General features: G+C 41.6%; 1 protein-coding gene across 15 annotated transcripts in view, besides 2 other annotated features; it reads right to left on the bottom strand.

Moving 5' to 3' along the window:
- Positions 1-23,734, bottom strand: part of FARS2 (phenylalanyl-tRNA synthetase 2, mitochondrial) — a 521,650-nt gene that overhangs the window by 173,416 nt on the left and 324,500 nt on the right. The window lies entirely within an intron of this gene.
- Positions 15,656-16,855: an enhancer, noted in NCBI's record as "BRD4-independent group 4 enhancer chr6:5581546-5582745 (GRCh37/hg19 assembly coordinates)". NCBI's record gives its function as "activates an origin of replication core promoter dependent on BRD2, P300/CBP, MED14 and CDK7 cofactors, and independent of BRD4, by STARR-seq in HCT116 cells {active_cell/tissue: HCT116}" and the evidence as "EXISTENCE:reporter gene assay evidence [ECO:0000049][PMID:35650434]".
- Positions 16,706-16,775: an enhancer, noted in NCBI's record as "active region_23909". NCBI's record gives its function as "activates an Ori minimal core promoter by ATAC-STARR-seq in GM12878 lymphoblastoid cells {active_cell/tissue: GM12878}" and the evidence as "EXISTENCE:reporter gene assay evidence [ECO:0000049][PMID:35858748]".

Genomic DNA, 23,734 nt, shown 5'->3' with positions numbered 1-23,734 from the left:
CAATCCTCCCACCTTGGCCTCCCGAAGTGCTAGGATTACAGGCATGAGCCTCCTTGCCCCATCTTTCACCTAAATTTTTAAGAGAAAACATCATAGTTGCTCTGGGCAAGGAAAGGGGTGGCAGGGAGACAGGATGGGGAAGAAAACTCTTGGTGACCCAAGGGACTGGTGAGATTGATCACAGGTCCGGTGGCGGCTTCATGGGTAGCTACTGTATTATTATGCTGCATAATTTCAACAGAGCATATATTTTCTAAATATCAAGTACTAGATAAAAAAGAAAATTAAAGGAAAAAGGATATCAATGTTAGTCATTAGCTAGAGAAATTATGTAATGGAAGGAAATATTGGCTACGGTTTATGCATTTGTATGTTTTTAAAAATTGGCTTTTCTATATTTAAAATAAAATTCCACCTGTTAATATTAGAGTAGACTTCAACAAAAAAGACAATGAGTTCAATTTCTCCACGTTAGGGAGAAATGTGAAATGTTATTTTCTTTTGGGCCAAATTCAAATGAGTCCAACAAAGCCTACGCCAAAGTTCACAGCGGGTCCCTGCAATGCCTTGGTTAGCAGAGTGCTGTGAGTTTGGAGTGCTGCTGGAGAAATGGCCGGCTCTGAGCTCAGGCGGTGGCCTGCAGAACTCAAACATCAGACCAGAGAAAAGAACATCAGGCGCCGCTCTGTGTCTTGCCTGCAATGGCTGCTTCAGCCACTCAGACTTCCTCCCTGCTTCCCAAGAGCTCATAGGCCAGAGGGGAAAGGGAATTTTAGAGGTGTCAAGTGCAAAATGTGGCACTGTGCACCAGGAGCAGAAGCAGACCCAGCTGTCTTGGCAAACATGGCCCAAAGTCCTCAAGGGGTCAGGTCACTCTCCCCTTCCCAAAGACAGCCACACCTTCCATCCAGCAAGCAAAAGTCTCAGTAAGATCAGTCCATTCAAATAACAAAACATGGGTGAATATTTACAAGTTTTTGGCCATCTGTTGGGTCAAATGCCAAACTTAGTAGGGAGAAGAAGAAGGTACTGAGTGCTTTCTGGAGCAGCTGCTTTCCGTCCAGGGCAGCAGTGCCAGCGCCAGGCCTTCTTCTCCCTGACCAGGCACAAACTGCCAGCTTTCTGCATCCAGGTTTCCTCATCTGCAAAAGCGGGTGCTCAGCACCTCACACATTGTCACCTGACCAAAACTATCCCACAGGGTGTCACGAGGGGGACTGTGAAAACCCTGGGCCATTGTCAAGTACCTCTGAGACATGCTGGATTTAACCAAGTTAGGCAGGGGAAACCTAACAAAGATTATAAGTGAGTTTGTCCTTCCTACATTGTAAACTGAAAAGACCAAGTGCAACCCAAATTTTGGATTCCACTGGTTACTAGAGGCCAGAAGAGAACCTGGCAGGGGCATTCACATCCGACTTGCAGGGTATCTCACATCTCACCTCCACCCAAATCACTATTCCTGTTTCTCAAAATGACCGTGGGCTTCTTGCTGGTTTAAGAATATTAACTATTTGGAATCTGGAAAAGTAGCTTTTTAGTGTTCCATCAAATAAATCCTATGCAATGTCGCTGAGGCTATGAACAAGCAAAATCATCAATTAAGAGCTAAAATTCCAAGCCCTTTAATGATTAATTTCCCTTATGCAAAATGAATAATGGTTCCATACACAGCACTAGTCAGGAAACCAAATTTAGGGATGTCTTCTTTCTCCAAAAACTATCACATATGCTGGTACCTACATATGACAAAAAGGTTTTCAACTTTCACTTACCCATTCTCACAATGGAGCAAGGCAGATGGTGTTGTCCAGATTTTGTGGACGGGGAAAGGGGGTGCAGAAGCAACTGCACTCAGGGGTGCACGGTTAATGAGCGAGAGGAGAGCTGGGATCAAAGCAGAGGTGCGTGTGACTCCCAAATCTCCTGTTCAGCCATCAATCACAGCACACCAACAAAGCATCTCCTCTTCCTGACGGCCTCCCTGAATATGCTGAATGTATAACGGTGGCGGCACCTCTCCTATCTCTTAGGGACCATCTCTATTCCTATTTTAGCTTCAGTAGACTCCTACAGAATAAGACTAATATCCTTACCTCATTGAATTATTATGAAAATTAAATGGGGTAACATATTTAAAACCCTTATAAATTACAAAACTCCATACTAGGTAAGGTATAATTAACTACCCCCTTTCTCTTGCCAGGCACTGTTACTTTATCTCATCTTCAAATGAGGTCTAAGGGGGAGGTCACTCAGCCGCTACAACTCAGCTCTGCTACTTGCTAGTTTTTGTGACCTTGGGCGTTTCCTCAATCGCCCAATCTCCCATCTACAAAAAGAGGGATGATTCCAGTCGTCTGTCATGGTGTTGCCAGTGGGGATTAAAGGTGTCAGCGTCGGTAAGCGTATCGTAAACATATACATGTTTACTATTTTACTGCTCTTCCATTCATGGCCAACCACAATTTAGTTCAGATCCATCTGCTTCTCCCACCTCCTCAAGCTGTGGCAATGACCATCCCAGTCTGTAACCTGGGGAAGAGTTTACATTTCTGTTTGTGTCACTTGGTGGCAAGTGTTAGGGGCAGGGATCACATTTTCTCCCTCGTTCTATTAACCATAGTGCCTGGCGCACAGTGGAAATAACCAACATTTGCGGACTTGAATGAGAAAGTCTGTGGCTCTCTTTCATGATTTCTGGTTTCACCAGCCTTGATCTGGCTGTGGTACCAGGGACACAGGAAATGGGGAGAAGGGCCATCAGAGAATGCCGACAGAAGCGAAAACCTATCAGAAAGAGCACATGATTGGCGGTTCAGCTGAGGCGTCATTTCCCCTTAGGTACACATCAAAGGATTAAGGGGTAGACCTCCTAGGCACAAGGTATGAAGGGATTATAAAATGGACACTTGGAAATGCTGAGGGTCTTTTAGACTTTTTCTCTGAAGAGCTAAAGGGTCAAACTCAGAGCTAGAGAGGAAGAAACAAGAAGAAAAAGTGCAGGGCTCAAAGCTACAAGACAGAAAGGACCTTCGGCTTTGCTCTTGGGCTAATAAAGCAGTAATTAAGCTGTGCCCTCTCAGCTCCAAACCCCCTTCCTGCACTCTACGGTGGGAGACTGGGTTGGACTCTGCAAACTGCCCTTCAGCTAGGCCAGCAGCTCCCCAGGAGGATCCTCCAGTTGGCCCTGGAGGAAGGCTGCCGGCCGGACAGAGGAGAAAGGGCTGGCTCCATTCTGCCAGCTTTCTATTCCTGTCAGGGGCTCAGCAACACGGCTCCTATACACTGGCAACCAGGAGCAGAGGCTTCATTCACATCACAGTTTTCCCAACATCACAGCATCGGCCTCATCGAACCCCTCCTCAGAGATGCCAGCACAGCCCCTGTCCTTGGAGGTGGGTCCCAGCCCCACGGGTCCCTCCTCTGAGCTCAGAGACACCTGCTTGGCTTGTCCTCCTCTTCAGGGGTCTGGGCCTTAGCTCTGAAGGACCCTCCACTGAGGTTTTAAGTTTCATTAATTCCAGCCTCTTCGATTGTTCCCTCAGCCCCAGGGTGGGGAGCTGCTTTCTGCCATCTACCTCCATGATAACCTCCACGTTCTCCTCTTGACTTCTTAATTACCTCCCTCAAAGGCTAACATTTCTTTAGTTTAAATTCTCTGTATTAAAAACCAAACAAATGGCATGGTTTCTGTCTCCTGCCTCGACCTCACTGATGCGGCAAAGAAGGAAGGGAGAAACAAATTTATCAAGAAGTCTGTGGTCTTTATCCCTGTTATCGCACCAGATTCTAATAAAGTACAGAAAGAAAACACAGAAAAACCAATTCACAACATAAATTTAAACAAAGAACTGAAGGAACAAGGGTGTTGATAAGTTGCTCAGGGAATGACAAAGGTGCTTCAGGCACGAATCCTCTGCTCATCGAGGGGAACTTCAAAGGTACCAGCTCCCTCTCCTCTTGTGATACTCAACAAGAAAACACTCTCCAAGTACTATGCCCTACACTGAAGGGTCCCCATCCCTGCAAAGAAAAGATCCTAGGCCTACATGCCCTCAAGTTTCTTTCCCTTCCACCCAAAAAATACTCAGCGATGTCAGAAGAGAACTCCCAACTAGGTGAGGGACCTGGGAATCAATGTCAGGAAGGGTGAAGGAGTATGGAACAGGACTGGAGGTGCCTGTCCCCATGCCTGCCACGTGGAAACACTCCTTCCACAGACCCTTAGCCAGGGATTTAGCTGCTGTGTGTTCAGCCACCTGCTACCCTGTGGGGCCATCATTAATTGTGTTTGAACAATAGCAATGAGCCAGAAAATACAGCCCTACATTCTGACTGGCACAGGACTCTCCGACCATCTTCCTGTCCCCATGGCTTCTCCACTGCCCCGAAATGCCATAAAAAATTCGCCTGAGCCTGAATAAAATCGAATGAAACATTTTCCTATGGGCTATTTTTTTCAATAACTTCCTCCCCAAATAACCCAAGGATTCAAAGTGGTTTGCGGAGCCTCACCATTGTCCTTACTTGACAGGTAATATGGAGACAGCCTTTGTTCCCACGGAAAGTGTGAAGAACCTGAATGTGACAAACCACACAGGAGGTAACTTCCTTTTGGCAGAGTTGTCCACAGGTGCTGAATTTCTTTAATTTATTTATTTTTGTGGAGAGGGAGGTGGAAGACGATGGGCATAAAAAGACACCCACTGGCTCATCATTTCAGTTGGAGGTGTTTCTCTGCAACATGTTCTCTTGCTGCACCTTCTCTTACAGGTATCACTTTGCCCCTGCACTGTGAAGATAACTGTTTACTGGGTACGGCCGTGCACCTCTGTGTTTGGAAAGGCACCAGCAGAGGCCGGTGGGGGCGGGAGGTGCAGTTCCTTCATGGAGGAGCCATAGGGGTAACCTTCCAAGAGACACGGCTTTGCGTGAGCTGGAAAACCTTGCATGGATACGCCTGTTACTCACTCACGGTCGGCAGGATCCTGTCTGTTCTGTCCACCCCTCCTCACTTGTTCTGTGTGCTGCTAATGAACCAGAAGCACGGCATTGCTCAGGACGGCTTTGGTCGGCTCACCCTTTCTAGTACTGTGACAAGGAGATAAGGCAGAAAGCAGAGATGGGAGGAGGGTGAGGGCCAGAGGGAAGATTTGTGAGATGAGGCAGAGAGAGAAGAAGCGCCGATCGCCTTAAGAGGCTGGGCTGCAAGCAGGTTGTGACCAGGCGCTGTGTGGCCCAGTGTGATGGATGGTTGGTCCCTCATGCCACCAGCTGTGACTTCAAGAGGCCTGGGTACCTGCTAGGTCCTCCTTTCTGGGCTTTTCTCGCTCTGGGCCTCGTGGCAGGCAAGGAGTACTGACTGTGCTGCGAATATGAAACATTTCTTTGCTAAGGGAAAGCGAGGGGAGACAAAGCAGGGTATATCAACATCAGAGACGGCGTCTGCTGCCTTCCCCATTCTTACTGGCTATCGGTTGTTTTGAAATACGGGATCTCTCCAGGTGCCTAGCATATGTCCTCTCAGCTCTAAAGCAAAGGCACTAGATAAATCCAATAAACAAAGAAAGAGTCTGGGGTAGAGGCTCAGTCTATTTCAGGGTTGGCAGGTTGGTGAATTTTCTACTGTAAGATCACACCACTGTTTTCAAGGGATTTAAAATATTACAAGTGATAGTAGAGGCTGTGTCTCTTAAAGATTTGAACCAGTCAAAGTAAATATGGCAGGTTTGTTTTTTGTTGTTGTTGTTTTGTTTTTCTTTTCTGTTTTTTTTTTTTGGAGACAAGGTCTCGCTCTGTCACACAGGCTGGAGTATAGTGGCGTGATCACGGCTCACTGTAGCCTCAACCTCCTGGGCTCAAGTGATTCCCTGACCTCAGCCTCCCAAGTAGCTGGGACTAAAAGCATATACCACTATGTGTGGCTAATTTTTGTATTTTTTTGTAGAGATGGAGTTTTCCCATGTTGCCCAGGCTGGTCTCAAACTCCTGAGCTCAAGCAGTCTTCCCACCTTGGCCTCCCAAAGTGCTGGGATTACAGGCGTGAGCCACCGCGCTCAGCCAAATATGGCATATTTTAAAAGGCTAGAGCAGCCATATAAAAATATGAGCATCTACAAAATGTATTGTCTGCAAACACTTTGGCATCAATCGACCCATCTTAGACAGTCTTCCTTTTCTCTTGACTCATTAATTCAACAAATATGTATAGAAAGCTATGTGCGAAGAAACATGAAAGGCACACAAGATTAGTAAGATACTCTTTTTCCACAAGAAATTTACAAAGTGATGGGGAAGTAAGTATGGGTTAAATTAATTTAAATATTTAATTTAAACATTGGTTACACTAATTTAAGGAATGAAGTACAAACACAGTACTATGGGAATCCAAAGCGCAATCATGATCTGTTGGGAGGATCACAGAGTGAGGGGCTATGTGAGTTGATGATTGTATAATGGCAGGAGTGGGAAGGGAAAGGATCCTCGGGGCGAGAAGAAATGGGTCAGCATTTCCATCAGCAAACCCTGGGAGATAAAGCTGAGGTTCCTTCAAGCTCCACATGCCATGGTATAGATGAATGAGTTTTATGTCGAATGTGAAACACAACAGGTCATCCGAGTGGACATGCCAGCAGGCACCTGGATCGCCCATATCTCGAGGAGGCGTTCAGGCCAGAGGCAAACCTCGTGAGAGCAGAAGTCACGTCTTGTGTTTCTGTGATCTTCCCCACAGAATCCAACAGAGTGGTCACAGCTGTGCTCAGAGAAGCTGATGTAAGTTGCGGAGGGGACGTAAGATTTCTTCTCATATTCAATCAACTCTCAAATACAGAAAGCTGACCACCTTGTCTTGGACCACTCGGTTCTAGTGTTTTCCCTTGTTCCTGCTGTTACTTGGCCTTAGTGTGACTTTCAGACACCTAAACTTCATTTAAGTATGGTATTCTTTTCTCTAAGTTCCAGGAAATTAATTTATAACTTTGTCAAAAAAGATGAAATGGTAGGGTTTTCTTATCTAAGATTCAATGGCATTAACACCAAAAGATTCCCTCATCCATCCCCAAAGGTCCAATAAACAGAAGTCTGGGTTGATTGTGAAAGTGTAATGTTGCACTTATACTTATTTTCTTTGATCTGTGTGTTTTTTATATGTGATTGATATGCATAATTTACACCATATCACCAGAATACATTTTCACAGCTCATCTCCATGACTGCTTAGTAATTTCTCATGGTTAATTCATTTTCCAGGAATTTCACTCTAAGCTTACAATGTGCAAAGCAATGAGCTGTTAGGAAATTTAAAATAAGATGTAGGTATTCTTCAAGAGGAGTTTGAAATTTAGAGAAAGGGAAAGGCCTAAAAATGTTTATAACATAAGACATGATAGGCCAAATGCAAAAATGGAGCAAAATATCTCTTCCCTCAAAAAATTAAAGTGCTGGCCAGCTTCAGTACAATGTACAAAGCTGTACTTCCACTGACTAATATAAAGTCTACTGGGATGAGGACTGCACATATGGGATTGAGGGGTAAAAGATGAATGTGAATAGTGCATGAGGCCCATTTCCTACTCAAATCCACATCAACAGATGCTATGCTGGGAATATTTTTCTCAGAGATGGGGATGGATCTGAATGAATGCTCACATTCCCAGCCTGTCCCTCATCAAACAACGAACACCTCTGTGCTAGACGACACCAAGGTACAGCTGGTAGCTATGACCTCAGTAACTGTGGAGCACTGTGCCAGAGCTGAAGGGCTCTCAACCGGGCTGGCTGGGTGCCTGAGACTCTATGCAAGTGAATCTACATCTCCAGGAATAGTGCTGGGCATCAGTCTCCTCTGAAAGCTCCACAGAGAACTTGGACACATACGGTGCATGGGGAAACACTGCTACCAGCCTCATGCAATGTGTTTATCTCGCTCTATAAAAGGCCACTGGTCATCTATGCATCATTCTTCACTATCACATTTGCCTGCACTGAGATCCAGTCCAGTAGCACCACCAACTTTAAATACATTATCTAACATTACTGAGCACTTAGAGTATGTCAGGTACTGAACTGAGAACCTTACATACATTTTGATATTTAATCTTCAAAAACCACCTTAGGAGTGAAGTACTATATTGGTTTCCCAATTTATAGATGGAGAAACCGTAACTTGCAGTTAAGTGACTGTGCAGTCTCATAGCTATGCAGGGTGGGGCTGCGGATGGAAACGCTCTCTGCTTGGCATCCAAGTTTATGCTTCTAATCACTAGGATATAGCAGCTCATTTATATGTATGGAATATTCAATTTTTTAATGTGCTCTGTATCTATGCACAAACAGCTAGTTGACACATACTTATCCATAAAATAGAGAAAAATAAAATATCTACTTGGAAATGATTTACCAAAAGGTTATATATTCAGCACTTATTTTCATAAAGCATTTTGCTGCTTATCTCTGTCCAATCTCAGCAACCAGACTCTTAGCAGGATACCACTGGTGTTCCCAGATATGGCAGGTTGCAATGTGCTTCGTCTAACACTTAAGGAATCACTGCAGTGAGCCTGCTGCATTACAGCACATCTGCAGAGGTAGCCGCACTCAGTGTACAAATCGAGCAGGCTCTGAAAAACATGGTACTGCCAAAGCGAAGCTGCAGGGTTCTTGCTGTCTTCAAAATAAAAGATGATTCTTACATTGTTCAAGAGAAGATTACTGCCAAAGACAAACTAGTTTTCTGAGCTCTGTCCTCTGATAAGCATGTACTGCAATCCTGCCACATGAATACTAATTTTACCACTAAGGATCAATATTTATGCAGCTCTAGCTACCTGCCAAGTGCTGTCTTGGGGCTTTCTGTTAATCCTCACACCAACCCCTCATCACAGCTGAGGAGACTGAGGCACAGTGAGGCTAAGAAATTTGCCCAGGGTTAAGTTAGGAAGCAGCCGAACTGGGGTTGGGGGACCTAGGACGGGGGGAGCTGGCTCTAGCTCTTGGCTTTTTACCACCTCCTCCCTATGGACCAGGCTGTGTGACAGGCCTTGGGATTATAAAGGTATCAGAGATGCAGTTCCTTGAGAAGCTGAGAAACACACCCATCACCGTGGAGCTGGGACATGGAGGGCCAGTTGTCTCTTTAAGTCTGAATTAGCAACATAGTAAAGACTAACCTAAAACTGTCAAGAAAGACTATTAGGAATGGCTCCCTCTCATACAGTATTAATTCCTCGAAAATGGCCCCAAAGAGCTGATTGCCTATGGCGATGATGTGAATATAGACAAAGGTGTAGAAAGACAGGCAGGCGTGGCCTTAGGATGAAAAACAGAACTGAAGGCTGTAATGCCAGGTTGCCCGGGGATCACAGATGAGGCAGTTGGATCCCCACAAAGAACTGCACGCGAAAGAACCTAGCAAGTCTGGAGCCTGGTGGACAATCAAATAAACGGTGATTACTGGTTAGGAAGCACTTGGAGAAAGAGTCCTATGATGGAAACAGAGGCCCAGTAGGCAGAACCAGTGGAACCCATTGGTTGAACAGAAGACATGGGTTTTCTTTCTTCTTAGCAAGGGAAAAGGGCAGAGGTCAAAGAAAAGCGAAAAGGTGAGCAAGCTGGCAGGGGAGGGAGAGGGCAGCCACCAGAAGCCCATTAGCAGAGGTCCCTAGGACTTTGCTTTTATATGCAGACACTGCAAAACCAACAGCTCATGGGCCAAACAGTGTGCTGCTTTGTGTTTTAATCTGAACAATTTGTCTACAGAAAAATCAGGAATGTTAACACCTTCCAGATTTCTAACTTATCTTTTTAAAAAATAAAAGTCAAGGCAGATTGGCCTTGGGCTTCCAGGAGGCCACAGCGTGGTCCCGAGGAGAAGAGGCTGGCAATGCCCTGCTGCCCACGCCCACACCACTTCCCCCGCCCTTCACCCTGGGCCCCTTAACATGTTTGCATCCCCTGCTTGGCCCATGTGCACATTTGAATAGGTGACCCTAAGTTCAGATACTAAGAAGAGGAGGGAATATGGCTGCCTTGGGGTAGAACAAGGACCCATGTTTTACAGTAAGGGGAAACTCGATTATGAAGAGGCCTAGCTGTCACCTTCACTGGGGAGTTAAAGGCCAGAAAGGACCACTAGCCCATGAGTGATTCCAGCCTTCTCCCACCTCCCATTCCCACCACAGTCAGGGTTTTACCTATCTTAAAATATGTTGTTTCATAATTTACATACACTATCCCATTAAACAACACGTATTAAAAGATATATTACCTTATTTAACAACCTTATGAGATAAATATCATTGTCCCCCTTTTACAGATGAGAGTGTTGAGGTTTAGAGAGTTATGATCCCAAGGTCACACAATGGAGATCTGAACAAGGGCAGTCCACCCCCGGAGCTCATGAACTTAAGGTAGTATGGGATATTTGACCCAAAGAATGTTAACAGATGCTCTCTTTAAAAGGATTTTTCATGTCAAGTAAGTTAGGGAAATATTCGTTTCAGGTTTCTTTCATAAGATTCTCAGAATCTTTAAAATACTAATGGGCTGTGTGAATCTTCAAGTAAGAAAATCTATGTCTCCAAATTGAGTCATGAAAACTTTGCCAGAAACACAGCATGAAATATGCTGTGGTGGAAAGATGGCTTCTAAAGCAAGATGAATGAAAACTTGTAATTATGGGTTGAGCAACGTGGATTTTCTAAGCCAAATCAATTATTTGCAAACCTTACATTTTTGAAAACAGTATTTCATGTATAGATGTCTATTAGCTTATGATCCCACCTTTTCCTCACTAACCTAAAATCTCAATTAAAATAAATCCTGTTGTTATGATTCTATTAATCTGAAATTCTATGAACGGTGACTCTAACACTTCAAACATAGCAAGATAATAAAAAATAATCTCACATATGTATAGGATATTTTGACATTTACTGTTTTACATATTCCTTAATACCACCTTTATGAAGGAGAAATGATTTTGTTTCCATTTTATAGATGAAGAAAATTAGGCCCAAAAAGGTTAAATGAATTGACAAAGGTCAAAGAGCAACCCAGTAAGTGACAGTACATCTTTAAGGGTTGCCAGATATTAATGTACTGACTAAATACTGCTACAGTTTTTATAATAAAAGCATTTAGTTCTCTTACTTATCGGGAGATTATTCATATTATTAAGTCATATAGCTTCCATTAGCCACACATTTTGATAATCCCATTCCTCAACCTTGGTAGGTTATAGAGAATATATTATAATCAGTCTTCTAAGTAATGTGGTTTAGCATATCAGGATTACAAGGACTTTAGTACACCAAAAAGCCAATCCTAAGTGTCAACAGTCTTTAAAACAGAAACATAGCTACCAAAAATTTAAGGAAGAATTAACAACAACCCTTCTCAAACTATCCCAAAAATTTAAAGAGGAAGGAGCACTTCCAAACTCATTTTATGAGACAAGCATTATCTCATTCCTAAATTAGGCAAGGGTACTACAAAAGAAAGAAAGAAAGAAAGAAAAGTACAGACAAATATTTCTAATGAACATGGATGCAAAAATCCTCAGCAAAATACTAGTACATTAAATTCAGTTGCACATTAAAAAGACCATACACCATGATCAAGTGGAATTTCTCCCTGGGATACAAGGATGGTTGAACATACACAAATCAATAAATGTGATTCACCACATTAACAGAATGCAGATAAAAATCATGCAATCATCTCAAAAGAGGTAGAAAAAGGATTTGACAACATGCAACCCTTTCATGATAAATACAATCAATAAATTAGACACAATAAAAACCATATATGACAAGCCCACAGTAAACATCACACTCAAAGTTGAAAAGCTGAAAGCTTTTCCTCTAAGATTAAGGAAAAGATACAGATGCCTACTCTTGCCACTTCTATTCAACATAATACTAGAGGTGCTAGCCAGAGCAATTAAGCAGGAAAAAGAAGTCAAAGGTATCCAAATATGGCAGGAAGATAAATTGTCTGTTTGAAGATAATATGAGCTCACATATAGAAAACTCTAAAGAGTCACCAAAAATCTGTTAGAACTAATAGACAAATTCAGTATAGTTGCAGGATACAAAAATCAACAAATATCAGTTGTGTTTCTATATACTAATAATAAACTACCTGAAAAAAAATCATTATGGAAAATAGTACGCTGCTTCCTCCATAAATCCATAAATTGAAAACAGAACTACCATATGATCTAGCAATCTCATTTCTAGGCATATATTCAAAGAAAATGAAATCAGTATTTAGAAGAGAGATCTGTACCCCATGTTCATTGCAGCATTAGTTATACTAGCTAATATGTGGAAACAGCCTAAGTATCATTGATAAATGAATAAAGAAATTGACATATATATGTGTATATAAGTGTTTATATGTAAATATAAGTATATATGTGTGTGTATTCCATATATAATGGATTATATTTGAATATTATATATAATGGGATATTATATATATTAGACTATTATTCAGCCACAAAAGGAAGGAAATCCTGCCATTTGTAACAACATAGATGAACTTGGAAGACATTACGCTCAGTGAAATAGGCCAGACATATAAAGACGAATAGTACATGATCTCACTTACATGAGAAATCTTTAAAAAGTTGAACTAACTGAAGCAAAGAGTAGAAAGGTGGTTGCCAGGGGATGGGGGTGGGGGAATGGGGAGGTGTTGGTCAAAGGGCACATACTTCTAGTTATAAGATTAATAAATTCTGGGCATCTAATACACAGTATGGTTACTATAGTTAATAATATTGTATTGTTTACTTGAAATTTGATGAGAGCAGACGTCAGTTGTCCTTACTATACATACACTTACACACACAAAAAAAATGATAACTGAGTGGTGATGGATATGTTAATTAATTTGATTGTAGTAATCATTACACAAGGTATGCAGACATCGCATCATCACATTGCATACCTTGAATATATAAATTTTTGTCAATTAAATATTTTAAAATAAAAACCAGCAAAATAGAAATATGAAGATTTTTAGCCTACAGAAAAGTAAATATTTGTTTTCCCCACATAATTCTGCTTGCTTTTCATATATAGCTTATATATATGAATCTTAAAGAGCTTTAGCACCATGTTTTGATATGAAAAAGAATATGGGAAGAAGGATATTACAATAAGAAAAATAATGCATTTTTCTTCTCTATGCTGCCTCTTGTAATTTAGTTTCTGTGTAATCTAATTCTTATTCTGATCAGAGAAGAAGGAACTGAAAATCAGGATTTTATTAACACCATCGATATCTCCCCACTCTCTGGCAAATGCACAAACATAGGCCTCTGGTTTCTAATTATGCATTTCACAGATGAGTTTCCATGGCTGCTCTCCATGCAGATGATGAATAAAGTAGCTTTTGTTTTCAGAGATTTATTTCGAAGACCTCTTCATTAAACGCTATTTGGGGGCAGATGCATATCTATGGAAGGTTAAAAAAAAACATGCTGATAAAACAGCCATCAAGGAAATGTGCCACTGACAAAATCTAACATGGCCTGTCTTCAAATAATACATTTTAAATATATAAACATACACACATGCACAGGCACACACGGGAAGGAGAGAGGGAAGAGGGGAGAGAAAAAGAAAGAGGAAGGCTGGGAGGAGGAATTAATTTTAAAAAGACCTTTGAAACCACATTTAAAATATATGAAATTCCTAACCAGAGTAATCATTACTTGCAAATATGGCTGAGTGCTGAAAAGTCAAGCTAAAAGGTCTGCTTGTTTGTTCTGATGGTGGGGTGCTGGGGTGGGGGAGAAATGATGATGTTGCAAAAATTACCCAATTCTTTAAGGGAATCTAGCAATTCTGCTGTTTTTAATCATACACATTTGATGAATGGGTTTCTAAAACTAAAAGGAAGAGTGTAGAATTCTGACAGGCAGTGGGAAGGGGCTGACTCTACGCCAACTTCTTATGCTGTCGGGCAGGAACTCAGGGCCCGCAGGGTCCTCATCCGAACACTCAAGGAGTGTGTGTGTGTGTGTGTGTGTGTGTGTGTGTGTCAGAGAGAGAAAGAGAGAGAGAATGTCGGGGGGAGCTAGCTAAGGGGAGAAACTGGAACTAATGGCTATTCCATTACAGAAACAGAGATACCTCCTGGAAAAATCCTTCCTTCTGTTTTTGAATTCCATCACAAATTGGATAAAAAAGCCATTGAACCTTTAAGAAACAGCAATAGTTTTCTCAGGAAGTAAGTGCAAAATGCATCACATTCAGGCACACAAAGAAGGACCCTTGCAAAACAGACTTCCCCAGTGAGAATAGCCAGTTGCCTGTGCCCGGGATGGAACAGACTGCAGGGTTATCACATTCAGGAACGATATGAACCAGACTGCCTGGGTTTAACCTGGCTTCCTCACTTACTTTCAGAGTCCTGTGGCCTTAGGCCTGTTATCTAACCTTTCTAGGTCTCAGTTTCCTCATCTGTAAAATGGGAATAGTAACAATATCTATGTAATAGGTTTTTAAAAAATACATAAAATGCTTAGAACAGTACCTGGAAGTAAGGCTTAAGGATCTGTTAAACAAACAAACGACTCTAATTGTAAATATAGGCAGGTTGAGTGAGCTGGTTTCTGTTAGGGAACAATTTTATTTATTAGTAATGTAAATGGCAGCCATGTTTCTCTGGAAGATTTTAAGCTGCCATACAAATGAAATCTCTTGGAAGCAGAGCCGTCTTTATTCATTTTATAAATAGGGAGACTGAGGCACAGCAGAGAACACTTAAGCATGTATGATTCTTCCACAAATTCTGCAGAATGCCTCTCACCTGGCTGCAGGTGCTCAATAAACACTGGTGGACTGAGCTGAACTTCCAGAGGTCCAAGACCTATCTGCTCATGCAAACAAGATAGAAATGTTCTTCTTTATTCTAATTTCACTCATTTTAGAGGTTCTAATTGCTAAGGAAGAACAGTGATATATTAGGCATAGTGACCATTTTGTTTTTACAATAACTTTTTAATTTTAAGCATGAGAATTATGTATTGGACACAGGGACCACTTATCCATTGACTGGTAAGATGTTTGTTTAGAGGGTGTCACTGGTCTAATGATGAAAGAATGAGGGCTGGAAATCATCAGACACACCACCACAGCACATTATTTTTTACAGCCCATTAGGCCTTGGCTAACCCATTTTAATACAACTCAAATGTCTCTATGTGAGCTTCACAGCTCACCCTGCAGGCCTGCAGGGAAACACACTCAAGCAGTCAAAAATCAACCATCATGGAACCTGCAAGTTGAACACTGTTGCAACCACAATGATATCATAAACTTCAGTATTCCATGTCTCAGAGTTTAACATAAAGAGCTATTTTGCTGAAAGTGCAAACAAAAATTTTTTAACTTTGTAGAAGTTCATCTTTTTAATTTGGTGAAATCTGACTAAAAGCCCAGCCATGGAGCCATGGAGAGTTTTACATCAGTATATACACACAAACTTAGAGTTATCTGGTAGCAATGGCTCTGCCAGAAATTGTCAGCATGAACTACATGAAATTTTTAATAAGTGACTGGCTTTTGATACCTAAAAAAGCAATTTCGTATGGGCCACCTGATAGTTGTGTACCGTAGGACAGATGTCTAAATTCTCTAAATGTCAGTTCCCTCATCTGCAAAATGGGACACTCTTCGTACTTTCTTTATGGTGTTATTGTAAAGATTCTAGGAAATACATGCAAAGTATTCAGCATAGCCACCGTGGGTCCATAAGTACTTAACATAGGTAAGTCATTATTTGTAGTCATTATGTTAGCATCCAGTTATGTTGCTAAACCGGAAGTATGTTACTGTGACCATTTATAGAAGCGCATCAGGAATTAACCGGAAGTATGTTACTGTGACCATTTATAGAAGCGCATCAGGAATTAACCGGAAGTATGTTACTGTGACCACTTAGAAAAGCGCATCAGGAATTAACCGGAAGTATCTTACTGTGACCATTTATAAAAGCACATCAGGAATTAACCGGAAGTATGTTACTGTGACCATTTATAGAAGCGCATCAGGAATTAACCGGAAGTATGTTACTGTGACCATTTATAGAAGCGCATCAGGAATTAACCGGAAGTATGTTACTGTGACCACTTAGAAAAGCGCATCAGGAATTAACCGGAAGTATCTTACTGTGACCATTTATAAAAGCACATCAGGAATTAACCGGAAGTATGTTACTGTGACCATTTATAGAAGCGCATCAGGAATTAACCGTAAGTATGTTACTGTGACCATTTAGAAAAGTGCATCAGGAATTAACCGGAAGTATGTTACTGTGACCATTTAGAAAAGCGCATCAGGAATTAACCGGAAGTATGTTACCGTGACCATTTAGAAAAGCGCATCAGGAATTAACCGGAAGTATGTTACCGTGACCATTTAGAAAAGCACATCAGGAATTAAGGGCCTGGCTCCTCAGAAAGAACCACTCCATGTCCCAACGTGCAGAGGCAGGACACCTCACGATGCCCTTCTTTCTTTTTGCTCCCTCTTCAGCATTAACAGCAGTTTCAACAAAGCAGCTGTCAGCTGGAGGGGGATGCCAGGGCTCAGAGCAAACAAGCATATACCCAGCAACTGGCACACACCTGGCTGGAAACTGCCTGTGTGCGATGCGGAGAGTTCTGCTGCCCTCTGGGACGATGTTCAGCTTCTTCAGCAGCAGCACTAGCCGGCTAGACATATGACAGACTTTGTTTTTTTATGTAAAAGCAAAATATAACTCATTTAAAGGCTTTCTGAAATCCCCTTCCTGCCCACGATGGCCGACCCTCATTTCTCTATGTGTGTGCGTGGGTTTTGTTTTTAACTTCCTTTTGTATTCCTAGTCAAGAGAGCAGTAAATGTTCTGAAACTGTTTCTTGGGTGTTGTTTTTCTCTCCTCAGCTGCACTCGGTGCTAAGGCAGGAGCCATCACCGGTGCTGGGCACATACCAGGCTCTCAGTAAACAGATGGTGAATAATTGATGCTGCAAATCCAGTTGTGAAAATGGCTTCTTGTCCTCTGTAATTTTGCACACCTTTAAGGCTGCAAGCCTTCAAAACAACAACCATGGGCCTCGTCAGCTTCCTGTAAGCTCTGTCATGCTGCTGTGAATTCCAAATTCTTAATTTCATGCACACAGAGGGAAAACTTTCCAGAACCAATGAATAGACAACTTTCCCAAAGGTTCTGTTTATCGTTCATACTAAACAAATGTGGTTTTTGGCAACCTATGTCTTCCACTAATTGTGCATATTGACAGATAGATATTTATATCCACAAATGGTAACAGAGGATAGGAACCAGTATCCAATGTGGACGTGAAGAGGGCTGCCTGGACTGGGAAGGGTGCTGCCTTTCCCTGAGAATGGTTTCCCAACTTTCATCTCAGGAATGGCGGCGTCCAGAGCATGACGATCAATCACATCCTCCTAGCACTGCCTAGCACTATCCCTGCACACAAAGTCATCTCTCAGGCAAGTTCTCAGTTACCCTTGTGATATGAGCGAGGGAGGCATTATACCCACTTTACAGAGAGAAACTGAGGCAAATGTGGCTGCAGAGACACACGGGGGCTGCTGCTGCTGGCCATGTGGGTATCTGGGCTTTAGGTGGGTGCAGCTGTTAGGACAGGGGCACCTTGTTTCTGTGTGGTTGTTTTTCTGGTTGACCAGACTACAGTATAATAAATATGCCTCAGAGCGCCTCCATTTCTTCAAATGAAAAATGAGAGTAACACAATCTAGAGAATCAAACCGTCTTAAACTCTACCCTTTCTTGCTTTCCTTCCTTCCTTCCTTCCTCCCTCCCTCCTTCTCTTTTTTTTTTTTTTTTTGAGACGGAGTCTTCCTCTGTCACCCAGGCTGGAGAGCAGTGGCATGCTCTCGGGTCACTGTAACCTCCATCTCTCGGGTTCACGCCATTCTCCTGCTTGAGCCTCCTGAGTAGCTGGGATTACAGGTGCGCACCACCACGCCCGGCTAATTTTTGTATTTTTAGTGGAGATGGAGTTTCACCACGTTGATCAGGCTGCTCTTGAACTCTTGACCTCATGATCCGCCTGCCTAGGCCTCCTAAAGTGTTGGGATTACAGGCATGAGCCACTGCGCCCGGCCTACCCTTTCTTTCTATAGGCCCTATGTTCTGACAAAGCAAAAGCAGACAAAACTAAAGGCAGAAAACAACAACAACAACAAAAACAAACAAAAAACAGGATAGAATGAGTAACTGATCCAAATGTGAGGGCAATATTTTTTTAAAGCTATTTTATTTTTAAGTAGATTTGCAGAGATGCGTAAAGTCTTATTTGCATCATTAGTAAGTGACAGCATTGCCATGGTGATTACTTATTTTCAGAAAAGAAATAACCATAGAGAAATCATTAATAACTCAACAAGATACGAAGTGCTGGTCAGGGACTGTGAGGCACACACATCCCTCCACATGCCGTATAAAGCATGTTCTAATGGACAAAGAAAGATATTGGTTTGGGGGAAAAATAACTTGTTCCTTCTGCTAAACCCAGAGAACAGGCATTAAAACCTCATAATAGTCTGGGCATGGTGGCTCACGCCTATAATCCCAGCACTTTGGGAGGCTGAGGCAGGTGGATCACCTGAGGTCAAGAGTTCGAGACCAGCCTGGCCAACATGGTGAAATCCCATCTCTACTAAAAATACAAAAATTAGCTGGGTGTGGTGGTGGGCGCCTGTAATCCCAGCCTGTAATCCCTGCTACTCGGGAGGCTGAGGCAGGAGAATCGCTTGAACCCAGGAGGCGGAGGTTGTAGTGAGCCGAGATTGCACCGCTGCACTCCAGCCTGGGAGACAGAGCAATACTCCATCTAAAAAAAACAAAAAACTTCATAATAAGATGGGCAAAGTCATTGGTAAAATGTAACAGCAGTGAAAAATGTGTTCTGAAACATTTATTTACACCTTTAAGTACATATAGCAACTTCCAGCAGGGCAAGAAGAAGTTTATACACAAGCCTTAATATACTCACTTAAATACATGTAAAGCATTTATTTAATAAACTAACATGGACGTTTATAGCTATAATAGTTAGGGCAATGTTTTCTATATGTCATGTACTGTGCTAAGAATTTTATGTGTATTGAAACTCACTAATCCCCACAAAACCTTATCCTCCACGTAAGCATTAATATTATTCCCATTTTACAAATGAGAAAACAGGCCAGAGAAATGTCATAAGGCAGTAGAGTTGGGATGTGAATTCAGGCAGTCTGGCTCTAGAGCTCACGTCTTGCCACTGTTTTCTTTTTTTTTTGTTTTTTTTTTTTTTTTTTTTTTTTTGAGACGGAGTGCCGCTCTGTCTTCCAGGCTGGAGTGCAGTGGCACGATCTGGGCTCACTGCAAGCTCTGCCTCCTGGGTTCACACCATTCTCCCGCCTCAGCCTCCCAAGTAGCTGGGACTATAGGCGCCCACCACCACGCCTGGCTAATTTTTTGTATTTTTAGTGGAGATGGGGTTTCACTGTGTTAGCCAGGATGGTGTCGATCTCCTGACCTCATGATCTGCCCAACTCGGCCTCCCAAAGTGCTGGGATTACTGGGGTGAGCCACCGTGCCTGGCCCACTGTTTTCTTTTTTCTTATTATCTTTTTATTTGAAAATAACGTTAAAAAAAATTGAAAAGGTACTAATTCCACCTTCCAGCCCCCACCCCATGAATCCAGGCTTTTTCACAGCCATTCACACATGGAACGAGACACAAGCTGGGTACTGTGAAGAGGAATTTGGTTGAGCATAACCTCAGCGCAGCCCAGAGTTCCCTCCCTGCCCAGTGAGAAGGGGCCACAGTCTAAGCTGCTATGGGTGGGTTAGGGAGCAGTGGCTGGGGACCCTGGCTGAGAACTTCTCTTGGACACCAGCACCAAACAGGTGCTGAAGAAGGTACTGGGGCAGACACAAGAGGGCTTAACCATTATTCATTCTTATCAAAATGAAATGGAAATATTATCACATTTCAGGTAACATTAAGATTAATATTTGCAAGAGAACACAATAAAAGATACAATGGCACCTGTAATCCCAGCACTTTAGGAGGCCGAGATGGGCGGATCACGAGGTCAGAAGATTGAGACTATCCTGGCTAACACGGTGAAACCCATTCTCTACTAAAAATACAAAAAATTAGCCAGGCATGGTGGCAAGTGCCTGTAGTCCCAGCTACTTGGGAGGCTAAGGCAGGAGAATGGCGTGAACCCGGGAGGCAGAGCTTGCAGTGTGCTGAGATCGCACCACTGTACTCCAGCCTGGGCGACAGAGTGAGACTCCATCTCTCAAAAAATAAATAAAAATGAATAAATAAATAAATAAATAAATAAAAGATACAATGGCAATCCAATTATTGTTTACTCCAAAGCTACTGCTAGATATTGGTATATCCCACTTTCCGGATCTATGTTTATCAGAGATTCCACAGTCTTGCTCTCTATAGTTTTAGTAAGCAGTTTAAAGAAGAAAATGAATGTAATTAAATCCTCCAGAAAGGACTGTGAAGAGAGAAATTAAAAAAATCTTAAAAGTACATCAAGTTCAACAAGATATTCCAGGCTAATCTTCTATTTTCCCTGCCCTGGCCACGAGTTCAGTCTTTTCTATAATGAGCCCTGCTTCCTTTTAATGGAGTGTGGTATTTAGAAACCAAGATGTAAGTACTAGGGTAGCTCAGTGCTATTGTTGTATTGTGTCCAGGCCCTCAAAGCTGGCAGAGCTAGGAAGGGACACACACACACACACACTCACTCTCTCTCTATTTTCAGTGTAAAAAACCATGAGTTTATATCAATACCTTGGATTCTAATCTAATAATCAGGGTTTATTATTGCTTCTCTGTTTTCCATATCTGTAATTATATCTATAATTACCTTCTCAAGCAGTGAGAAATCTGACTCCCATTATTTTCAATATATTTACTCTTCTGCTCAAGCTAGAATTAATAGAAGGTAACTTCAGAATTGCTCACCCACACCATTATTTTAAAAGTACCCTCCTGGCTAGGATTCATTGTTTTTTTACAGTCTCTTTCTGGTAAAATTTATATACATGAAATGTCTAAATCATAACGCACATTTCCATGGGTTTTTATATAGGTGTATACCCTTAGAACCTAGCCCCATCAAGATACAGAGCATTTCCAACACCCTCAGGAAATACAGAGACTGTCTAAGAATCATGGAGACATCAAAAGGACATAGGAGGCAGCTGGAAAGGGCTCCCAGTGGCCAAATCTGGGAAGATAAGAGGTTCAAAATTAAAAAAAAATGATAGTAAGGAATTGCTACTCATTGAATAAAATTCTATTTATTTAGGTATTTACTATCTTCAAAAGTCCTTTTGATATTAATACAAATTACTGAATGAATACATAAAGTTGGGAGAGGAAAAGCTCTTCCTTATAAAAGAATGTCAATTACTGTATTAGGGTTCTCTAGAGGGACAGAACTAATAGGATATATATATATGTTAATATATGATATATACTTTATATATATAATATATCATATATAGAGTATATATCATAGATATATACTCTATATATGATATATATATGAATGAAGGGGAGTTTATTAATATTAACTCACATGATCACAAGGTCCCAAAATAGGCCATGTGCAAGCTGAGGAGCACGAAAGCCAGTACGAGTGCCAAAACTGTAGAACTTGGAGTCTGATGTTTGAGAGCAGGAAGCATCCAGCATGGGAGATAGATGTAGGCTGGGAGGCTAGGCCAGTCTAGCCTTTTTACATTTTTTTCTGCCTGCTTTATATTATAGCCATGCTGGCAGCTGATTAGTTGGTGCCTTCCCAGATTAAGGGTGGATCTGCCTTTCCTAGCCCACTGACTCAAATGTTAATCTCCTTTGGCAACACCCTCACAGACACACCCAGGATCCATACTTTGCATCCTTCAATCCAATGAAGTTGACAATCAGTATTAACCATCAGAATTATAAATACCTTACAGAAAACATTAATGGATGCTAAAACCAGTGAATAGAATGTGATGAGACTCAATCGTTTTAAAGTACCACTCCATAAATAACTTAATTATAATGTGTAAAGGGGAAAAGGGTAAGTTTGTGGTAGAGAAACACGGTGTGCATCACCTTAACCTAAAGGTCAGAGCTCTCACCACCAATATGGGGGCAAACTGACATCATGCCCCTCCTGACACAATGCATTGAAAAGGACAAAACAGCACTTCTGTGGTATTCCACTGAAAATGCACAAGATGAAGCCAAAAAATTGTATAAAACAGAACAAAATAGAATTTTATGTCATGAGGAAGGTTCTGCCAATTCAGATGAAAGCCCATTCTACTATGTTGACCTGTAATCTTCAAAAATGTCACGATTAACTAACACAAAGAAGGGCTGAGAAACTATTTCAGATTCAAGGAGACCAAAGAGCTATGACAACAAAATACATGTATAAAATTGTATTGAATCCTGGACCAGGAAGAAAATAGCAATTAAGGACACTATGGGGAGAGCTGACAAAATTTGAATATGGGCTTTGGATTAGATATTGAATCAACATGAAATTTCCTGACATATATTAACTTTACTGTGATTATGTAAGAAAAAGTTCTTGATCTTAGAAAACACATGATGCATTTAGGAGAAGAGGGTATGTGTCTCCCATTTGCTCTCAAATATTGGGTGGAAGAGGGAGGTACAGATACACAGGTGATCCTCATGATGCCCAGATTCTGCGTGCACTAATTCATCTACTTGTGAACATTTATTTGTAACCTCCAAATCATTATTTGCCATGCTCCATGGAGGAGTGAAAATTTTGAGAAACAGAACACACATGTTCCCAGCTGATGTTGAACAAGGTGATGGTCTATGGTCTGCATTCTTGTTTTATTTCGATTAAGTGCCACATTGTTTGGAATTTTGTGCTTTATGGTGGTGGTTTCACTGTTTAAAATGACTTCCAAGCATAGTGCTGAAGTACTCTCTGGTGTCCTTAGCCCAAGAAGGCTGTGATGTGTCTTACGGAGAAAATACTCATGTTTGAGTTATAGTGCGATTGGTCAAGAGTTCAATGTTAATGAACCAACAACACACAGCTCACCCTTGAACAACTTGGGTTTGAACTTCACTGGTCCACTTATATGTGGATTTTTTTTTTCAATCAAACGTAAACGGAATATATAGTATTCCCTGGATCCTAGAATACAGAAGCTGACATTTTGTATATGCAGGTTCCACAGGGCCAACTACCGGACTTGAGTATGTACAGGTTTCGTTATCTGCAAGAGGTCTTGGAACCAATTCTCTGAGTACACTGAGGAACAACTGTAATTTAAATAAGGTACCACTAAACAGAAACACACATAAAACAAAGTTATTCATTAAATGATTTGATGAAAAGGTGATCAGAAGCTCCAAGGAACCTAATCCTGCATTTCCTCTAGGAACTAAAGCTCAGTATTCAGTGTTGGGGGCAAGTTTATAGAACATATTTACTGCAAATAATGAGAATCTACTGTACACACACAGATACACAAAATCTGAGTAAAGGGTATTTTTTTCATTGCCACAAAGTATTTCTTTTACACATTCTGCATAATGCATTTAACCACTCTCTTCCTGAGGGAGGCATAGGGTGTTTTCAACCTTCTACTATTATAAATATGACCGCTCCATACAGTA

This window comes from Homo sapiens, chromosome 6 (genome assembly GCF_000001405.40).
Source record: "Homo sapiens chromosome 6, GRCh38.p14 Primary Assembly".
NCBI lineage: Eukaryota > Metazoa > Chordata > Mammalia > Primates > Hominidae > Homo > Homo sapiens.
This window is presented reverse-complemented; position numbering and strand designations above follow the sequence as displayed.